General features: G+C 43.2%; 1 protein-coding gene across 5 annotated transcripts in view, besides 1 other annotated feature; it reads left to right on the top strand.

The window, feature by feature from the left end:
* The first annotated feature begins 2777 nt into the window (after positions 1 to 2777).
* Positions 2778 to 21812, top strand: part of TTC28 (tetratricopeptide repeat domain 28) — a 701827-nt gene continuing 682792 nt past the window's right edge. For all 5 annotated transcript variants that reach the window (NM_001393403.1, NM_001145418.2, XM_011530019.3 and 2 more), the window contains exon 1: positions 2778 to 2996. In NM_001393403.1, the coding sequence (NP_001380332.1) occupies positions 2895 to 2996 (102 nt within the window). In that variant the 5' untranslated portion in view covers positions 2778 to 2894. The remainder of the gene's footprint in view (positions 2997 to 21812) is intronic.
* Positions 3348 to 3852: an enhancer, noted in NCBI's record as "H3K27ac-H3K4me1 hESC enhancer chr22:29074754-29075258 (GRCh37/hg19 assembly coordinates)". NCBI's record gives its function as "activates a minimal SCP1, AML or CMV promoter by ChIP-STARR-seq in naive H9 embryonic stem cells {active_cell/tissue: H9 hESC(naive)}" and the evidence as "EXISTENCE:reporter gene assay evidence [ECO:0000049][PMID:30033119]".

The following is a 21812-nucleotide window of genomic DNA, read 5'->3' as shown; positions in this document are numbered from 1 at the left end:
TTCTGCCAACTTTAGGGTTTTCAGAGAAGTTTGGGGGAGAGAAAGGAAAGCAAAGATGTGGGAAGAAAGAGTCCTTGCAGCCCCAAGTTGGGCAAACTCCTCCCAGCTACTTATACTACAGGGTTTGGGAGCAGAGTCCATTTCATTAAACTTTTAGGAGTCTTGGATGGATAGGGTGGGAATTACACCAGTGAAACTCAGCTTTGTGTGTGTCAGGCATTGGGCCCTGGGATATGCAGTCATGTATTGTATAATGACATTTTAGTCAATGAAAAACCGCATGTAAATCGGTGGTACCATAAGATGATTATGGAGCTGAAAAATTCCTATTGCTTAGTGACGTAGCCATTGTAATGTTAGGGTAACGCATTTCTGTGTTTCTGGTGATGCTGGTGTAAACAAATCTGTGCTGCCAGTTCTATAAAAGCATAGCATGTACAATTACATACAATATAAGATACTTGATAATGAACAACATGTTACTGTTTTTTTTTTTTTTAAGACAGAGTCTTGCTCTGTCACACAGGCTGGAGTGCAGTGGCGCGATCTTGGCTCACTGCAACTTCTGCCTCCCAGGTTGAAGCGATTCTTCTGCCCCAGTCTCCTGAGTTGCGGGGAATACAGGCACCCACCCCCACACCCAGCTAATCTTCATATTTTTAGCAGAGATGGAGTTTCACCACACTGCCCAGGCTGGTCTCAAACTCCTGACCTCAAATGATCTGCCCGCCTCAGCCTCCTAAAGTGCTGGGATTACCCGCATGAGACACTGTGCCCAGCCCTGGTGTAGTGTTTTTCGTAATTTTAGAATGTATATCTTCTACTTACATTAAAAAATAGTAAACTATAAAACAGCCTCAGGCAGGTCCTTCAGGAAGTATTTTGGAAGAAGAAGGCATTGTTATCACAGGAGATGACAGCTCCATGCGTGTTATTGCCCGGGCTGGAGTGCAATGGCACGATCTTGGCTCACTGCAACCTCCGCCTCCTGGGTTCAAGCGATTCTCCTGCCTCAGTCTCCTGAGTAGCTGGGATTACAGGTGCACATCACCATGCCTGGCTAAGTTTTGTATTTTTAGTAGAGATGAGGGTTTCACCGCCTTGGCCAGGATGGTCTCGAACTCCTGACCTCAAATGATCTGCCTGCCTCAGCCTCCCAAAGTGCTGGGATTACAGGTGTGAGACACCACGACTGGCAAAATTTTTAAAGATAAATTTCAGTAAGCTAAGGTTAATTTATTGAAAAGCTTTAAAATATTTTGGTGTAGCTTAAGCATATGGTGTTTATAAAGTCTGCAGTAGTGTACAGTAAGGTCCTATGCCTTCACACTCAGTGACTCATCCACAGCATCTTCCAGTCCTGCAAGCTCCTTTCATGGTAAGTGCCCTATACAAGAGTACCATTTTAAAATCTCTTATACTCTATTCTTACTGTACCTTCTCTATGTTCAGGTACACAAGTACTTACATTGTGTTATAATTGCCTATAGTATATTCAGTAAAGTATCAGGCTGTAGAGGTGTGTAGCCTAGGAGCAATAGGCTACGCCATACAGCCTAGGTGTGTAGTAGGCTATACAAGGCTATACAAGGTTTGTGTAAATGCACTTTGCTGTTTGCACAATGACGCAATCACCTAAGGAGGCATTTCTCAGAACCATCCCGTGATTAAGAGAGGCATGATCGTACAGTCATCATCTCCCTGAAAGCTCAGTCAACCCTGTGCAGTGCTACTGCCACACTCCCCTTTTGCACATGTAGAAATCAAGGATCTTTGGCTCCTCTGAGTGACTTGTTCAAGGTTTCTCAGTTTTCAAGAGATGGAGGCGGGACTTGAATTGAGATTTCCCTTTCTTGAGAACCTGTGGTCCTTAACCATTAAAACCACTTAAGAGGTCTTCTCTCTTGATCACTACCTACTAAGTGCTAGGCGCGGTGCTGAGGCTTTCTCTTATTATTATATTGAGTCCTTATATTTAGGAGAAACAGGCCGTGCGCGGTGGCTCACACCTGTAATCTCAGCACTTTGGGAGGCCGAGGCGGGAGGATCACGAGGTCAGGAGATAAAGACCATCCTGGCTAACATGGTGAAACCCCATCTCTACTAAAAATACAAAAATTAGCCGGGCGTGGTGGCCGGCGCCTGTAGTCCCAGCTACTGGGGAGGCTGAGGCAGGAGAATGGCATGAACCCGGGAGGCGGAGCTCGCAGTGAGCTGAGATCGCGCCACAGCACTCCAGCCTGCGTGACAGACCAAGACTCCGTCTCAAAAAAGAAAAAAAAAAAAGATTTAGGAGAAACAAGTCCCGAAGCCCTGACCCTAACACGCAAGGGTTAGTGGAGATGTGGGACTTGAACTCAGCTTCTCCGTTGAGTCTGGCTGTCTCCGGGACGCAGGCACGTGCTTGCACACCTCCACGATGGCGATCCCGCCCCCTTAGTAGCGTCCTTAACTCGACACTTCTTGCGGGGAAGTTCCTCTTGGCCCAGACCGTCGTCCCAGGCCCCGCGTCGTGGGGGAAGCGAAAGCGGCAGTGTGGGGAAATGGCCGAGGGGTCGGGTCCGGGGTGGTCTGCAGAGAGGCAGGCGGCGGTGCGGAGCCGGGAACCGCGCGCTCACCCGCCGAGTCCGACGGGCCCGGCGGGGGTGGGCGAGACACTGGGAACAGCGGCCAGCTCCAGAGGGCGCGAGGCGGGGCGCGCGGGGAGGGGGCGCGGCGAACGCGCGCGTGCGCGGTGCATGTGTGGGCCCGCGGGGGCGCGCGCGCGGTTTGGGGGCAGTGAGGGGCGCCGCGGCGGCGCGCAGCACGGCGGGAACATGGCGCGCGGAACCGGCGCGCGCGCCTAGCTGGCGGGACCGTTAGCTCGAGGCGGACGCGGCCCGGGCCCCGTGGGGATGGAGCAGTCGCCGCCGCCGGCGCCCGAGCCGACCCAAGGGCCGACCCCCGCAAGGAGCCGAAGGCGGCGGGAGCCAGAGTCGCCGCCGGCGTCGGCGCCGGTGAGTGCGTGAGGGGCTCGGGCCGGGAGACTTTCTTTGTGAAACTCCGGCGGTGGGAGCCGGGCCGGGCCTCAGCGGCAGAGGAGCGCCTGCGAGGCGGAAGGCGTCTCGCAGTCCGGGTTCGATCCCAGCCGCGAGCCGTGAGGCGGCGGGACCTGGTCCGCCGCCTGCCTGGCTCAGTTTCCGCGAGAGTGTGTGTGGATGTGTGTGGGTGTGTGAGGGTGTGTATGGGTGTTGGCCTGCGCACACCGGGGTGGGGGGTGTCGGTATACAGTCAGCGCCTAATGCGCCCAGCGCCTCCCCTTTTCCCCCAGCCCCCGTGGGGCGGAATCTGGGGACTGGAGTCCACCGGAGCGGTAAGCGGCACCCGCGGTGAGACAGGTGTCGGCGCAGCCCGGGATGCTCAGGTGCTACCTTTCCGGGGTGGGGTTTGTGAGGAGTGAGCTCTTCGTCCCCGGAGGCGAGCAAGTCTGTCGGTGGCTCATCAAAGAGCGTTGTTTTGAAAAGCGTTCCACCCACCTCAGCTTCGTGCTGTGTTTGGGCCACTAGTCAGGGGGAAGGATGCTGAGCGACATGGACTTTAGAGGTGGGGCTCCCGCTGGACGGGATGTCTCTGGGCTCTCGAGCTTACCCCCACCCTTGCCTCCCAAACCCGTTAGAGCGTAGGAATCATTGGGAGCACCTGATCAAAATGCCACGGACTGTGGCTCACCACAGCAGGGAAGCCGATTTTGAACTTAAACAAGCTCCGAAGTTGTGATCAGGCGAGCTTGGCAAGCACTGTTTTAGAGAGTAGGCTTCCTGCAAGCAGGAGCCGGTTTTGTGTATACCTCACCATGGCATCTTGGTACCTGGCATGGTGCCTGACACACTGTAGATGATCAGAAAATATCTGTAGAAAGTCTAAATTATTAGGGAGAGTGCAGCATAGGAGTTCTTGAGACATTTTCAGGAGCTTCTTGAGATTAATATCTCAGATTTATTTTACAGTATATGATTTTTCTCAGCTCCCAACTTTGTGATTGTGTTCAATGCCATGTTTTCAGTATGTTTTAGGCAAAAGCAGGGTACATGTTGCTTAGTATACACTATCCACTAGGCCGGGTGCGGTGGCTCACTCCTGTAATCTCAGCACTTTGGGAGGCAGATTGCTTGAGCCCAGGGGCTTGAGGCTGTAGTGAGCCAAGGAGTTAGAGACCAGTGTGGGAAACATAGCGAGACTCGTTCGTCTCCGCAAAAATTAGCTGGGTGTGGTAGAGTGCACTTGCAGTCTCAGCTACTCTGGAGGCTGAGGTGGGAGGATCGCTTGAGCTCAGGAAGTACAAGTTGCAGTGAGCCAAGGTTGTGCCACTGCATTCCAGCCTGGATAACACAATGAAACCCAGTCTCTTAAATAAGTAAATAAATACATAAATGATTATGTATACTCCAGCTAGGTTAAAATTAATTCTGAATCAAAATTCTAAATTAAAATATGCATGTTTCTTTCTCTTCATCATTTGGGAACACTAGGCTTTTAGGATTTCATTCCATTGGGGCAGGTAAATATCTACATTTATGACAAAGCAAATATGAATTACTGTTAATTCAAGAAAGGTGGGAATTTGCTTAAACCTGAGTATTTGTAGTCTTTGTGATTTTTTAAATTTTTAATTTAAATTTTCTTCTTTTTCTTTTTTTTTTTGAGACGGAGCCTCACTCTGTCTTCCAGGCTGGAGTGCAGTAGCACAATCTCAGGTCACTGCAACCTCCACCTCCCGAATTCAAGCGATTCCCCTGCCTCAGCCTCTGGTGTAGCTGGCATTACAAGTATGTGCCACCATGCCCAGCTAATTTATGTATTTTTAGTAGAGAGGAGGTTTCACTGTGTTGCCCAGGCTGGTCCCAAACTCCTTGACCTCAAGTGATCTGCCCACCTTGGCCTCCCAAAGTGCTGAGATTACAGGTGTGAGCCACGGCACCTGGCCTTATTTTTATTTTTTTGAGACAGAGTCTCAGTCTGTTGCCCAGGTTGGAGTGCTGTGGCATGATCTCCGCTCACTGCAACCTCCACCTCCCAGATTCCAGCGATTCTAATGCCTCAGCCTCTTGAGTAGCTGGGGTTACTAGACCCGGCTAATTTTTGTTGTATTATTTTAGTAGAGACTGGGTTTCCCTATGTTGGCCAGGCTGCTCTGGAACTCCTGGCCTCTGGTGATCCACCTGCCTCGTCTTCCCAAAGTGCTGGAATTACAGGCGTGAGCCACTGCCCCCAGCCAATCTTTGTGATATTTTGAAATTGAGGTTTATATTTTGTTCAGAGTCAAAGCTAAAATAGAATTGTTTGAAAATTAATATTTCAGGAACTATTTTTTAATTAAATTGAATTTTATTTTATTGGTTTCATTTCAGTAGGGTTTTAACTTAATATATATGTGTGTATATATATATATATATATATATATATTTTTTTTTTTTTTTTTTCCTGAGATGGAGTCTTGCTCTGTCACCCAGGCTGGAGTGCAATGGCATGATCTTGGCCTCACTGCAGCCTCCACCCTCCTGGCTCAAGCAATTCTCCTGCCTTAGCCTCCCAAGTAGCTGGGAATACAGGTGCCCACCGCCATGCCCGGCTAATTTTTGTATTTTTAGTAGAGATGGGGTTTCACCATGTTGTCCAGGCTGGTTTTGAACTCCCGATCTCAAATGATCCACCCTCCTCGGGCTCCCAAGTGCTGGGATTACAGGCGTGAGCCACTGCGCCTGGCCTAAAAAATATTTTTAAAGACAGGATCTAGCTGTGTTGCCTCAGCTAGTCTTGAACTCCCAGTCTTGACCTCAAGTGATCCTTCTGCCTCAGCCTTCTGAGTAGCTGGAAGCACAACTGTGAGCCACCACACCTGGCTTTTTTTTTTTTTTATTTCTAATAAAAAAATAGAGTTTCTTGTTTCACTGGACAAAATATGCATATATAGGAAGGAAAGACTTTTGGACTTGAGATTGCGCTGAAGAAGAAAAATGGAAAAATTAGGCATTTTAGTCTCTCAGTGTGTTATTTTTGTAGCTTATACAGATATGTCTTTTTAAAGTGTCTTTAAAAAGCTTTATTGAGATAAAGATAAATGAGATAAATTCACCTACCATGAAATCCCCTTGAGTGCAGAATTTTGTGGTTTATAATATGTTCACAGAATCACACAAACAAGACAGGTATCTAGATACTTTCAGACCATTTTCATCAGTCCACAAGAAATCCCATACCCATTAGCAGTCATCCTTATTGCCTTTTCCCCTAGTCCCTGGCAATAACTAGCCTACTTTCTGTCTCTGAGTTTAGCTCTTCTGGAGGTTTCACAGAATGAAATCTTACTACATATGGTCTTTTGTGATTGACTTATTTCACGTGGCACAGTGTTTTCAAGGTTTATCCATGCTGTAGCGTATATCAGCACTTCATTCTTTTTTAATGCTGAGTAATCTTTTGAATGGATATACCATATTTTATCAGTTCCTCTGTTGATAGGCACGTGAGTTTTTTTTTCCAATTTTCGGCTATTATGAATAATGCTGCTATGAACATTTGTGTACAAATTTTAGTGTGGATGTATATTTTCATTTCCCTTGGGTATATACCTAAGGAATAGACTATCTGGGTCATATGATAATTGTTTAAGACTACAGGCACGTGCCACCACACCTGGCAAATATTTAAAAATTTTTTGTAGATAAGGGGTCTCGCTATGTTGCCCAGGCTGATCTTGAACTCCTGGCCTCAAGAGATCCTCTCACCTCAGCCTCCCAGAAAGTGTTGGGATTACAGATGTGAGCCACTGCAGCTATAAAAGAGGCTCATGCCTCTTTTTACATTGTGTGTGTGTGTGTGTGTGTGTGTGTGTGTGTGTGTGTGACAGGGTTTCACTCTGTCGCCCAGGCTGGAGTACAGTGGTAGGATCACAGCTCACTGCAGCCTGGACCTCCCTGGGCTCAGTTGATCCTCCCACCTGAGCCTCCTGAGCAGGTAGGACTACAGGCACGGTTAATTTTTGTATTTTCTGTAGAGATGGAGTTTTGCCGTGTTGCCCAGGCTGGTCTGGAACTCCTGGGCTCAAGTGGTCCACCAGCCTCTGCCTCCCAAAGTGCTAGGATTACTGGTGTGAGCCACCACACCCGGTTTACTCTTTTGATAATGTCCTCTGATGCCAAAAAAGTTTTTAATTTTGAGGAAGTCTAGCTTATCTGTTTTTTCTTTGTTGCTCATGATTTTGGTTTCATGTCTAAGAAGCCATTGCCAAATCTAAGGTCATGAAGATTTAGCCCTATGATTTACCCCTATGTTTTCTTCTAAGAGTTGTATGCTTTTAGCCCTTATATTTAGGTTGTTGATCCATTTTGTTTTAATTTTTGTGTGTGGTGTGAGGTGTGTGTGGTATGTGGTCCAAATTTATTATTTTGTATATAGATACAAAAAGTTATCCCAGCACTATATATTGAAAAGAGTGTCCTTTCCTTTATTGATGGTCTTCACATCTTTTTTGAGAATCACTTGAACATATATAAGGTTTTATTTCTGGACTCTTAAGTTCTGTTCTCTTGATGTGTATTTCTTTCTGTCTTTATGCCAGTACTACACTGTTTCATTACTGTAGCTTGGTAATAGGTTTTGAAATTAAGTGTAAGTCCTTTAACTGTGTTCTTTTTCAAGACTGGCTATTTTGGGTCCCTTATATTTCCAAATGGATTTTAGGATCAGCTTATCAATTTCTGTAAAAAAGACAGCTGGGATTTTTACAATGATCATGTTTTACCTTTTTTTTTTTTTTTTTTTGGAGACAGAGTCTCGCCATCGCCCAGGCTGGAGTGCAGTGGTGTGATCTTGGCTCACTGTAACCTCTGCCTCCTGGGTTCAAGTGATCCTCCTGCCTCAGCCTCCCAAGTAGTTGGGATTACAGATGTGCACCACTATGCCCAGCTAATTTTGTATTTTTAGTAGAGACATGGTTTCACCGTGTTGGCCAGGCTGGTCTTGAACTCCTGACCTCAAGTGATCCACCCGCCTCAACCTCCCAAAGTGCTGGAATTACAGGCTTGAGCCACTGCTCCAGCCAACAGGTCTTAACTCTTACGCATCTTATGGTTCTCATATGTATAATTGCATAGTAATATCCATTCCAAAGAATTGTTAAATAAAAGAGGATGTAGGTATATATTTAGAACAATGCCTTGCCTGTGGTAGGGATTTGATATTTGTTTTTTATCTTCTTCTGCTAATTAATTCCAGTTAAAAGTGAGCCACAAAACAAAAAACAGACAAACCCAATCAAAAACCAAGAAAAACAAAAACTCCAAAACCACAGACCAAAAAAAAAAAAAAAAAAAACCACAAAGAAAAAACCACAAACAGAAACCCCAAGCCTCTTCCTGTCCCCATCACCTTTCTACGACCCAAGAAATCCCTGTGAGCGCTTGAGGAACCACTAAAGAAGACAAGTCTCTCATACCACATAGTTGTATTGCAAATGCATGTGAAATCAAGGTTGCTATATAGAATATTTGACAGTGAATTTTAAATATTAAAAATAATAAAAGTATAATTGAAAGCTCTTTATTTTTACTCTATGATTCTTGTTTTGTGTGCTGTTTTTTCACTACTTTTTTTCCTGAAAGCAGAAACAATATTTTTTCATTAAATTTCATGGTTACAATCTTTCTTCCTTTAAATTATTGCTATTTTAAAAACTGTTAGCGGGAAGCCTGATGTTTGAACTTAAACTTGGTAGAACATTTATTTTGGTGTCTCTTCAGCAGCTGGGTGCATTGTTATTTTCTAAGAAGAGAAACTAGAGACATAGTATGATACAAATATGATGCTTGGAACATCTCATGTTTCTTGTATATTCACACTGTATTATCTATAGTCTTCCAAAAACAAACACTAACCAGTTTTCTATAGGCATGTTTTAGCAAAATATAAGTATCAATGCTAATTTGATATTCATTTTATGATGATTGACATTAGAGGACAATAATCTTAGTAATTTTCATCTTTACCAAAGTGATACTCTTTATGCAATTCTGTGAGTGCAAAGAATGTTGATATCAAATTTGTCCTAACATTTTCTGAACTACGTCCATAGTATGTTGAAACAATATCATGGTGATTTTTGACTTCCATTATGGCATAGAAATGCCAAGTACGTACCAGGTAAGGGGGGGAAGCTACATACAATAATAATGCATTCTCTTATTTAACATTCGCAGTTAACTTTTTTTTTTGAGACGGAGTCTCTGTCGCCCAGGCTGGAGTGCAGTGGCGCGATCTCTGCTCACTGCAAGCTCCGCCTTCTGGGTTCACGCCATTCTCCTGCCTCAGTTTCCCAAGTAGCTGGGACTACAGGCGCCTGCCACCAAGTCTAGCTAAATTTTTGTATTTTTAGTAGAGACGGGGTTTCACCATGTTAGCCAGGATGGTCTCGATCTCCTGACCTCGTGATCCGCCCGCCTCAGCCTCCCAAAGTGCTGGGATTACAGGTGTGAGCCACCGCTCCCGGCCCAACTTCTTTTTTTAACTCCTGCAAAACCACAACACAAAGTCAGGTTTGTTGTGCTTAGACCATTTGCTATTTCTTAGCAATCCTACTCTTTATCCACAAAACCACATCCTCATTACAATCAATTATTTATCAAGTGGGATCTCAAAAAATCACATTCCAGATTACTATATGTTAGTTTTACGCTATTAATCTTGTAAAATAAGGTATGTTCTTCACGTCCTTGCCTAGGGGCAGTATAGCTATGATGAAAAAGGGTTTTTTCTGTAGTGGTCACAGTGAGGCCAATTACAGCCATACTACAACACCTACTTGCCCTCTTTTTCTGTTCTACTCTCCAGTTACTATTATTACCTCTTCAGTTCTCCAAATATGACTTTTGGTGTCTAGCAAAATAATTCCTGGTATTTAGTCAAAGAGTGGAAGGACATTATTGTTGCTTTCTCTTTCTCAACAGCAAGAAAATATTATTGATTTTTAGTAATAAATATTTTAGGCCAGGTGTGGTGGGTCATGCCTGTAATCCCAGCATTTTAGGAGGCCGAGACGGGTGGATCATGAGGTTAGGAGATTGAGACCAGCCTGACCAACAGGGTGAAACCATGTCTCTAATAAAAATACAAAAAATTGGCCGGGCGCGGTGGCTCATGCCTGTAATCCCAGCACTTTGGGAGGCCGAGGTGGGTGGATCACGAGGTCAGGAGTTCAAGACCAGCCTGGCCAATATGATGAAACCCTGTCTCTACTAAAAATACAAAAAGTAGCTGTGCATGGTGGCAGGCGCCTGTAATCCCAGCTACTCCAGAGGCTGAGGCAGAGAACTGCTTGAACCCGGGAGGCGGAGCTTGCAGTGAGCCGAGATGGCCTCCAGCCTGGGCGAGAGAGTAAGACTCCGTCTCAAAACAAAACAACCCAAAAAATTAGCCTATAGTCCCATCTACTTGGGAGGCTGAGGAAGGAGAATCACTTGAACTCAGGAGGCGGATGTTGCAGTGAGCTGAGATCACACCACTGCACTCCAGCCTGGGTGACAGAGCGAGACTCTGTCTCAAAAAAAAAAAGTGTTTTAGTTTTAAATGGTTTATTTCTATTTTAATTTTCTGATAAAAGCCTTATTTTGTCCAGGTGCAGTGGCTCATACCTGTAATCCCAGCACTTTGGGAGGCCGAGGTGGGCAGATGACTTGGGGTCAGGAGTTCGAGACCAGCCTGGGCATCATGGTGAAACCCTGTCTCTACTAAAAACACAAAAATTAGCCGGGCATGGTGGCAGGCGCCTGTAATCCCAGTTACTTGGGTGGCTGAGGCAGGAGAATCATGTGAACCTGGGAGGTGGAGGTTGCAATGAGCTGAGATTGGGCCACTGCATTCCAGCCTGGGCGACAAAGCAAGACTCTGTCTCAAAAAAAAAATGAAAACAAAATCCACATAATGGAAGAAATTTTTTTTTTTTTTTTTTTTGAGATGGAGTCTTGTTCTGTCGCCCAGGCTGGAGTGCAGTGGTGCGATCTCGGCTCATTGCAAGCTCTGCCTACCGGGTTCACGCCATTCTCCTGCCTCAGTGTCCTGAGTAGCTGGGACTACAGGCTCCCGCCACCACGCCTGGCTAATTTTTTGTATTTTTAGTAGAGATGGGGTTTCACTGTGTTAGATAGGATGGTCTCGATCTCCTGACCTCGTGATCCACCTGCCTTGGTCTCCCAAAGTGCTGGGATTACAGGCGTGAGCCACCGCGCCCGGCCAAGGAAGAAAATATTTGCAAATATATATTTGTTAAAGGACTTATTATTCAGAATATATTAATAACTTACTATGCAATGATAAAAGGACAACCGAATTTAAAAATAAACAGGCCGGTTGAGGTGGTTCATGCCTGTAATCCTAGCACTTTGGGAGGCCAAGGTGGGAGGATCACTTGAGCCCAGGAGTTTGAGATCAGCCTGGGCAACATAGTAACACCTCTTCTCTACAAAAAAAATAGAAAAAAATGTTAGCCCGTGATCACTTGAGCCTGGGAAATCGCAGCTGCAGTGAGCAGTGATTACACTGCTGCACTCCAGCCTGGGTGACAGAGTGAAACCAAAAAAGTAGACATTTCCTAAAGATATACAAATGGCCAATAACATGAAAAGGTATGCAACATCGTTAGTCATCAGTCATGCAATCAAAACCACAATGAGATCCACTTTACATCAACTGGGGTGGCTAAAGTTAAAAAGATAGACAATAACAAGTACTGGTGAGGATGTGGAGAAATTGGAGCTCTCATACATTGCTGGAATGTAAAGTGGTGCAGCTGTCTTAGAAAATGCTTTGGCATCTCCTCAAAATGTTAAACATAGACTTGCCATATGGCCCAGTAATTCCACTCATATATATATATATATATATGCCCTAAAGACATCAAAACAATTGTTCACACAAAAACTTGTGTGAACATGAATGTTCATTGCTATATTATTTATAAAAGCCAAAAAGTGAAAACAGCCACAAGTACAACTAACTGTTGACTGGATAAACAAAATATTTTTTTCCAGTGGAGTATTATTTCCAGTGGAGTATTATTCTGCCATAAAAGGAAGAAGTACTGAGGCATGATACAACATGGATGAACCTTGAAAACATTCTAAGCGGAAGAAACCAGTCACAAGAGATCACATATTGTAATGATTCTATTTATGTGAAATAGTTAAGCATAGACAAATGCATAGAGAGGGAAAGAAGATTAGTGTTTGTCACGAACGTTGGGTGGGGAGGAGGAGGGAATGACTGCTGATGGGTATGGGGTGATGAGACTATTCTAAAATTAGATTGTGGTAATGGTTGCAAAACTCTGAATAAATCACCAAAAGACACTGAACTGGATTCTTTAAATGGGTAAGTTTTACGATATGTGAAATGTATTTCATTAGAGGTGTAGAAAAATGTCAGAAAATAAAAGTCTAACCCTTAAAAAACATCATTAAAGATATTAAAGTCTTTATTTGCCCCCCCCCCATTTTTATTTTCAGTAATACAGGGTAAAATGAGTAGGATTACTTGATCTGGCCATCTATGGCCATTTTATGGAATGACAAACTAAGTTCAATACTGATAGAGTTGTATTCTGTGTATACATATAATAGAGTATATACTGTGTGTATAAAAAATTCAAGCATATGGAAAAACTTATTTAATCCAGTAATAAACCTTTATATTTTCTCATCAGTTTAATAATAACATTTTTTGCCAGTAATTGGGTATATTTTGGGAAATAGTAGAATAAAGATTTGTAGACTCTCTTACATCTCCTAAAAGAAAATTCACTAAGCATGTATGTGGAAAACATCTTAAAATAAAGATAGATAAGAACGTTTTTGTGAATTAAAAAAGTAATGTGAACATGTTAAGGTATTTGAACTTACATTTAAATTGGATTATAAGTAACTTAACATTTTTAATGCAAGCATATTAACCTTCTTGTGCTTATGAGATTATTTTGCCAAATTGTAGGACAGAGGAAACTGCTGACTCCACAAAGATCTTCCCTTTGACCAGTTCTCTACTAGGAGCTTAGTTTCCTGATTTTTAGTACAATTTGATATTGAGGAACATATATTTAATAAGGCCGGGTACTTAGGTATAATAATTGGGTAAATTGTACCTTTTATTTTGGCCCTAACTGGTCACACTTCTGGGAATATTCTTCCCCTATCAGGAATTTCCATGTTACCAATATAATTTTGGGATTCAGTCACCTTTATTAGACATGTGGCCCCATGTGAAGTTTCTTTTTCTTTCTTTTTTTTTTTTTATTATACTCTAAGTTTTAGGGTACATGTGCACATTGTGCAGGTTAGTTACATATGTATACATGTGCCATGCTGGTGCGCTGCACCCACTAATGTGTCATCTAGCATTAGGTATATCTCCCAATGCTATCCCTCCCCCCTCCTCCTACCCCACCACAGTCCCCAGAGTGTGATATTCCCCTTCCTGTGTCCATGTGATCTCATTGTTCAATTCCCACCTATGAGTGAGAATATGCGGTGTTTGGTTTTTTGTTCTTGCGATAGTTTACTGAGAATGATGGTTTCCAATTTCATCCATGTCCCTACAAAGGATATGAACTCATCATTTTTTATGGCTGCATAGTATTCCATGGTGTATATGTGCCACATTTTCTTAATCCAGTCTATCATTGTTGGACATTTGGGTTGGTTCCAAGTCTTTGCTATTGTGAATAGTGCCGCAATAAACATACGTGTGCATGTGTCTTTATAGCAGCATGATTTATACTCATTTGGGTATATACCCAGTAATGGGATGGCTGGGTCAAATGGTATTTCTAGTTCTAGATCCCTGAGGAATCGCCACACTGACTTCCACAATGGTTGAACTAGTTTACAGTCCCACCAACAGTGTAAAAGTGTTCCTATTTCTCCGCATCCTCTCCAGCACCTGTTGTTTCCTGACTTTTTAATGATTGCCATTCTAACTGGTGTGAGATGATATCTCATAGTGGTTTTGATTTGCATTTCTCTGATGGCCAGTGATGATGAGCATTTCTTCATGTGTTTTTTGGCTGCATAAATGTCTTCTTTTGAGAAGTGTCTGTTCATGTCCTTCGCCCACTTTTTGATGGGGTTGTTTGTTTTTTTCTTGTAAATTTGTTTGAGTTCATTGTAGATTCTGGATATTAGCCCTTTGTCAGATGAGTAGGTTGCGAAAATTTTCTCCCATGTTGTAGGTTGCCTGTTCACTCTGATGGTAGTTTCTTTTGCTGTGCAGAAGCTCTTTAGTTTAATTAGATCCCATTTGTCAATTTTGTCTTTTGTTGCCATTGCTTTTGGTGTTTTGGACATGAAGTCCTTGCCCACGCCTATGTCCTGAATGGTAATGCCTAGGTTTTCTTCTAGGGTTTTTATGGTTTTAGGTTTAACGTTTAAATCTTTAATCCATCTTGAATTGATTTTTGTATAAGGTGTAAGGAAGGGATCCAGTTTCAGCTTTCTACATATGGCTAGCCAGTTTTCCCAGCACCATTTATTAAATAGGGAATCCTTTCCCCATTGCTTGTTTTTCTCAGGTTTGTCAAAGATCAGATAGTTGTAGATATGCGGCATTATTTCTGAGGGCTCTGTTCTGTTCCATTGATCTATATCTCTGTTTTGGTACCAGTACCATGCTGTTTTGGTTACTGTAGCCTTGTAGTATAGTTTGAAGTCAGGTAGTGTGATGCCTCCAGCTTTGTTCTTTTGGCTTAGGATTGACTTGGCAATGCGGGCTCTTTTTTGGTTCCATATGAACTTTAAAGTAGTTTTTTCCAATTCTGTGAAGAAAGTCATTGGTAGCTTGATGGGGATGGCATTGAATCTGTAAATTACCTTGGGCAGTATGGCCATTTTCACGATATTGATTCTTCCTACCCATGAGCATGGAATGTTCTTCCATTTGTTTGTGTCCTCTTTTATTTCCTTGAGCAGTGGTTTGTAGTTCTCCTTGAAGAGGTCCTTCACATCCCTTGTAAGTTGGATTCCTAGGTATTTTATTCTCTTTGAAGCAATTGTGAATGGGAGTTCACCCATGATTTGGCTCTCTGTTTGTCTGTTGTTGGTGTATAAGAATGCTTGTGATTTTTGTACATTGATTTTGTATCCTGAGACTTTGCTGAAGTTGCTTATCAGCTTAAGGAGATTTTGGGCTGAGACGATGGGGTTTTCTAGATAAACAATCATGTCGTCTGCAAACAGGGACAATTTGACTTCCTCTTTTCCTAATTGAATACCCTTTATTTCCTTCTCCTGCCTGATTGCCCTGGCCAGAACTTCCAACACTATGTTGAATAGGAGTGGTGAGATAGGGCATCCCTGTCTTGTGCCAGTTTTCAAAGGGAATGCTTCCAGTTTTTGCCCATTCAGTATGATATTGGCTGTGGGTTTGTCATAGATAGCTCTTATTATTTTGAAATACGTCCCATCAATACCTAATTTATTGAGAGTTTTTAGCATGAAGGGTTGTTGAATTTTGTCAAAGGCTTTTTCTGCATCTATTGAGATAATCATGTGGTTTTTGTCTTTGGCTCTGTTTATATGCTGGATTACATTTATTGATTTGTGTATATTGAACCAGCCTTGCATCCCAGGGATGAAGCCCACTTGATCATGGTGGATAAGCTTTTTGATGTGCTGCTGGATTCGGTTTGCCAGTATTTTATTGAGGATTTTTGCGTCAATGTTCATCAAGGATATTGGTCTAAAATTCTCTTTTTTGGTTGTGTCTCTGCCCGGCTTTGGTATCAGAATGATGCTGGCCTCATAAAATGAGTTAGGGAGGATTCCCTCTTTTTCTATTGATTGGAATAGTTTCAGAAGGAATGGTACCAGTTCCTCCTTGTACCTCTGGTAGAATTCGGCAGTGAATCCATCTGGTCCTGGACTCTTTTTGGTTGGTAAACTATTGATTATTGCCACAATTTCAGAGCCTGTTATTGGTCTATTCAGAGATTCAACTTCTTCCTGGTTTAGTCTTGGGAGAGTGTATGTGTTGAGGAATGTATCCATTTCTTCTAGATTTTCTAGTTTATTTGCGTAGAGGTGTTTGTAGTATTCTCTGATGGTAGTTTGTATTTCTGTGGGATCGGTGGTGATATCCCCTTTATCATTTTTTATTGTGTCTATTTGATTCTTCTCTCTTTTTTTCTTTATTAGTCTTGCTAGCGGTCTATCAATTTTGTTGATCCTTTCAAAAAACCAGCTCCTGGATTCATTGATTTTTTGAAGGGTTTTTTGTGTCTCTATTTCCTTCAGTTCTGCTCTGATTTTAGTTATTTCTTGCCTTCTGCTAGCTTTTGAATGTGTTTGCTCTTGCTTTTCTAGTTCTTTTAATTGTGATGTTAGGGTGTCAATTTTGGATCTTTCCTGCTTTCTCTTGTAGGCATTTAGTGCTATAAATTTCCCTCTACACACTGCTTTGAATGCGTCCCAGAGATTCTGGTATGTGGTGTCTTTGTTCTCGTTGGTTTCAAAGAACATCTTTATTTCTGCCTTCATTTCGTTATGTACCCAGTAGTCATTCAGGAGCAGGTTGTTCAGTTTCCATGTAGTTGAGCGGCTTTGAGTGAGATTCTTAATCCTGAGTTCTAGTTTGATTGCACTGTGGTCTGAGAGATAGTTTGTTATAATTTCTGTTCTTTTACATTTGCTGAGGAGAGCTTTACTTCCAACTATGTGGTCAATTTTGGAATAGGTGTGGTGTGGTGCTGAAAAAAATGTATATTTTGTTGATTTGGGGTGGAGAGTTCTGTAGATGTCTATTAGGTCTGCTTGGTGCAGAGCTGAGTTCAATTCCTGGGTATCCTTGTTGACTTTCTGTCTCGTTGATCTGTCTAATGTTGACAGTGGGGTGTTAAAGTCTCCCATTATTAATGTGTGGGAGTCTAAGTCTCTTTGTAGGTCACTGAGGACTTGCTTTATGAATCTGGGTGCTCCTGTATTGGGTGCATAAATATTTAGGATAGTTAGCTCCTCTTGTTGAATTGATCCCTTTACCATTATGTAATGGCCTTCTTTGTCTCTTTTGATCTTTGCTGGTTTAAAGTCTGTTTTATCAGAGACTAGGATTGCAACCCCTGCCTTTTTTTGTTTTCCATTGGCTTGGTAGATCTTCCTCCATCCTTTTATTTTGAGCCTATGTGTGTCTCTGCACGTGAGATGGGTTTCCTGAATACAGCACACTGATGGGTCTTGACTCTTTATCCAACTTGCCAGTCTGTGTCTTTTAATTGCAGAATTTAGTCCATTTATATTTAAAGTTAATATTGTTATGTGTGAATTTGATCCTGTCATTGTGATGTTAGCTGGTGATTTTGCTCATTAGTTGATGCAGTTTCTTCCTAGTCTCGATGGTCTTTACATTTTGGCATGATTTTGCAGCGGCTGGTACCGGTTGTTCCTTTCCATGTTTAGCGCTTCCTTCAGGAGCTCTTTTAGGGCAGGCCTGGTGGTGACAAAATCTCTCAGCATTTGCTTGTCTATAAAGTATTTTATTTCTCCTTCACTTATGAAGCTTAGTTTGGCTGGATATGAAATTCTGGGTTGAAAATTCTTTTCTTTAAGAATGTTGAATATTGGCCCCCACTCTCTTCTGGCTTGTAGGGTTTCTGCCGAGAGATCCGCTGTTAGTCTGATGGGCTTTCCTTTGAGGGTAACCCGACCTTTCTCTCTGGCTGCCCTTAACATTTTTTCCTTCATTTCAACTTTGGTGAATCTGACAATTATGTGTCTTGGAGTTGCTCTTCTCGAGGAGTATCTTTGTGGTGTTCTCTGTACTTCCTGAATCTGAACGTTGGCCTGCCTTGCTAGATTGGGGAAGTTCTCCTGGATAATATCCTGCAGAGTGTTTTCCAACTTGGTTCCATTCTCCACATCACTTTCAGGTACACCAATCAGACGTAGATTTGGTCTTTTCACATAGTCCCATATTTCTTGGAGGCTTTGCTCATTTCTTTTTATTCTTTTTTCTCTAAACTTCCCTTCTCGCTTCATTTCATTCATTTCATCTTCCATTGCTGATACCCTTTCTTCCAGTTGATCGCATCGGCTCCTGAGGCTTCTGCATTCTTCACGTAGTTCTCGAGCCTTGGTTTTCAGCTCCATCAGCTCCTTTAAGCACTTCTCTGTATTGGTTATTCTAGTTATACATTCTTCTAAATTTTTTTCAAAGTTTTCAATTTCTTTGCCTTTGGTTTGAATGTCCTCCCGTAGCTCAGAGTAATTTGATCGTCTGAAGCCTTCTTCTCTCAGCTCGTCAAAATCATTCTCCATCCAGCTTTGTTCTGTTGCTGGTGAGGAACTGCGTTCCTTTGGAGGAGGAGAGGCGCTCTGCGTTTTAGAGTTTCCAGTTTTTCTGTTCTGTTTTTTCCCCATCTTTGTGGTTTTATCTACTTTTGGTCTTTGATGATGGTGATGTACAGATGGGTTTTCGGTGTAGATGTCCTTTCTGGTTGTTAGTTTTCCTTCTAACAGACAGGACCCTCAGCTGCAGGTCTGTTGGAATACCCTGCCGTGTGAGGTGTCAGTGTGCCCCTGCTGGGGGGTGCCTCCCAGTTAGGCTGCTCGGGGGTCAGGGGTCAGGGACCCACTTGAGGAGGCAGTCTGCCCGTTCTCAGATCTCCAGCTGCGTGCTGGGAGAACCACTGCTCTCTTCAAAGCTGTCAGACAGGGACACTTAAGTCTGCAGAGGTTACTGCTGTCTTTTTGTTTGTCTGTGCCCTGCCCCCAGAGGTGGAGCCTACAGAGGCAGGCAGGCCTCCTTGAGCTGTGGTGGGCTCCACCCAGTTGGAGCTTCCCGGCTGCTTTGTTTACCTAAGCAAGCCTGGGCAATGGCGGGCGCCCCTCCCCCAGCCTGGCTGCCGCCTTGCAGTTTGATCTCAGACTGCTGTGCTAGCAATCAGCGAGATTCCGTGGGCGTAGGACCCTCTGAGCCAGGTGTGGGATATAGTCTCGTGGTGCGCCGTTTCTTAAGCCGGTCTGAAAAGCGCAATATTCGGGTGGGAGTGACCCGATTTTCCAGGTGCGTCCGTCACCCCTTTCTTTGACTCGGAAAGGGAACTCCCTGACCCCTTGCGCTTCCCAGGTGAGGCAATGCCTCGCCCTGCTTCGGCTCGCGCACGGTGCGCACACACACTGGCCTGCGCCCACTGTCTGGCACTCCCTAGTGAGATGAACCCGGTACCTCAGATGGAAATGCAGAAATCACCCGTCTTCTGTGTCGCTCACGCTGGGAGCTGTAGACCGGAGCTGTTCCTATTCGGCCATCTTGGCTCCTCCCTCTCTTTTTCTTTCTTTCTTTCTTTTTTTTTTTTTTTTGAGACGGAGTTTCGCTCTGTCTCCCAGGCTGGAGTGCAGCGGCACTATCTCGGCTCACTGCAATCTCTGCCTCCTGGGTTCACGCCATTCTCCTATCTCAGCCTTCCGAGTAGCTGGGACTACAGGCGTTCGCCACCACGCCTGGCTAATTTATTGTATTTTTAGTACAGACGGGGTTTCACTGTGTTAGCCAGGATGGTCTCGATCTCCTGACCTCGAGATCAGCCTGCCTCAGCCTCCCAAAGTACTGGGATTACAGGTGTGAGCCACCGCGCCCGGTGGAAGTTTCTTATCACTAGAAAAAGTGTATTGCATTTCCTGATACTGCACAGTTGCTTCTGTTCTGTGTGTAATATTTTTGTTTTGAGTTGTCTTGGATCCCTGTCATTTTTGGCTTGTGTAGCAACAGGAGTTTTGAATATTGCTCCACTGTCACATAATGCTTTTGTTGAATCCATTGCTTCCTAATATTCACAAAGATTTATGAAAACCATTTAATAATAATTGTTCAAGAAATTGGCCACAAATTCCAAATATATTTTATGAAAAATAAAATTTTCATTAGGCTTATTTGGAAGAACCATATAAATTATAGAGTATTTGTGTGGAAGCACTCTTCCTTCTGTAAGTATAGGTGTTTGAGATTATTATAGCTAGACTAGCATTTATATTGTGTGTACTCTGTGTCAGTACTGTTTAAATACTTTACATATATTAACTAATTTAATTCTCACAACTTTATGAAGTAGGCACTATTATCCCCATCTTACATATGAGACAAGTGTAGTACAGAGAGGTTAAGTAACTTTATCAATACCATCCAGCTAGGAAACTGAATTGCCTTGGATTCTAATTTAGCAGCCTGGCTCTGGAATCTGTTCTTAACCATTTGCCTTAGACTGTCTTTGATTTGTATGATCACTAAGCAAATAGTGATCAATTATAACTACCTTTTGCTACTAAACGCTAGACTTGTTGCCAGAAAATAACATAATTTCCCTGTGGATATTGTTAAAACCTAGTTTTTATTGTGAGGTTTAAGGTTATGTTGGCACACCATTCTGGAATTTGTCTCTATAATACTGATCAAGCAGTATTTGACATTAAGTTTATTATCAAATTTTATTATCTATTAATTTAATGAAAAGATGAAATTAATTACAATGTGAGCAGTGTAATTTCTTTATGTATTGAAAGTTACAAAACTGAGCCAGGCATGGTTGTTCCTTTCTGTATTTCAGCTATTTGGGAGGCTGAAGTAGGAGGATTGCTTGAGGTCAGGAGTTCAAGACCAGCCTGGGTGACATAGTGTGAGACCCAGTCTCTAAAATATATTTTTTAGGCCAGGTGCAGTGGCTCATGCCTGTAATCCCAGAACTTTGGGAGGCCGAGGCAGGTGGATCACCTGAGGTCAGGAGTTCGAGACCAGCTTTGCCAACATGGTGAGACCCCATCTCCACTAAAAATACAAAAATTAGCTGGGTGTGGTGATGCCCTTGTAATCCCAGCTACTTGGGAAGCTGAGGTAGGATAATTGCTTGAACCTGGGAGGCAGAGGTTGCAGTGAGCTGAGATCGTGCCACTGCACTCCAGCCTGGGTGACAGAGTGAGACTCTGTCTCAAAAAAAAAAACAAAACTATCTGTCTATCAATCAGTCAAATTAGCCGGGTATGGTGGCATGTACCTGTAGTCCCAGCTACTCAGGAGGCTGAGGCAGGAAGACCCCTTGAACCCAGTAGTTCCAAGCTACAGTGAGCTATGTTGGCACCACTGCACTGTAGCCTGGGCCACAGAATGAAACCCAGTCTCTAAAAATAAATGAATAAATGAATGTTATAAAGCTGTTATTAAACTAATACTTAATGTAGTACCTGATATAAATGTTTCTTGGATGATGGAAATTAAATAATGAAGAAGGGATTATATGAAATGAGGCTATATAACAACAATTGTTTTTTTTCTGAGATGGAGTTTCGTACTTGTTGCCCAGGCTGGAGTACAATGGCACGATCTCGACTCACCGCAACCTCCACCTCCTGGGTTCAAGGGATTCTCCTGCCTTAGCTTCCCAAGTAGCTGGGATTACAGGCATGTGCCACCACACACGGCTAATTTTGTATTTTTAGTAGAGACGGGGTTTCTCCATGTTGGTCAGGCTGGTCTCGAACTCCCGACCTCAGGTGATCCGCTCACCTCGGCCTCCCAAAGTGCTGGGATTACAGGTGTAAGCCACTGCGGCTGGCCTTAAAAGCAGTAGTTTTTAAGATAGCAAAAGAATGATTCTAATTTCCTATGCAACTTTGAAATAAAGGGAATTATATATTTAAAATTTTTTTTTTCCTTTTCTCAGATCATGAGGTCAGGAGTTCGAGACCATTCTGGCCAATATGGTGAAACCCATCTCTACTAAAAATACAAAAATTGGCCAGCCGCGGTGGCTC

The sequence above is a fragment of the Homo sapiens genome, chromosome 22, assembly GCF_000001405.40.
Source record: "Homo sapiens chromosome 22, GRCh38.p14 Primary Assembly".
Classification (NCBI taxonomy): Eukaryota; Metazoa; Chordata; class Mammalia; order Primates; family Hominidae; genus Homo; species Homo sapiens.
The sequence above is the reverse complement of the archived record's forward strand: the minus strand, read 5'-3'. Positions and strand labels throughout refer to the sequence as shown.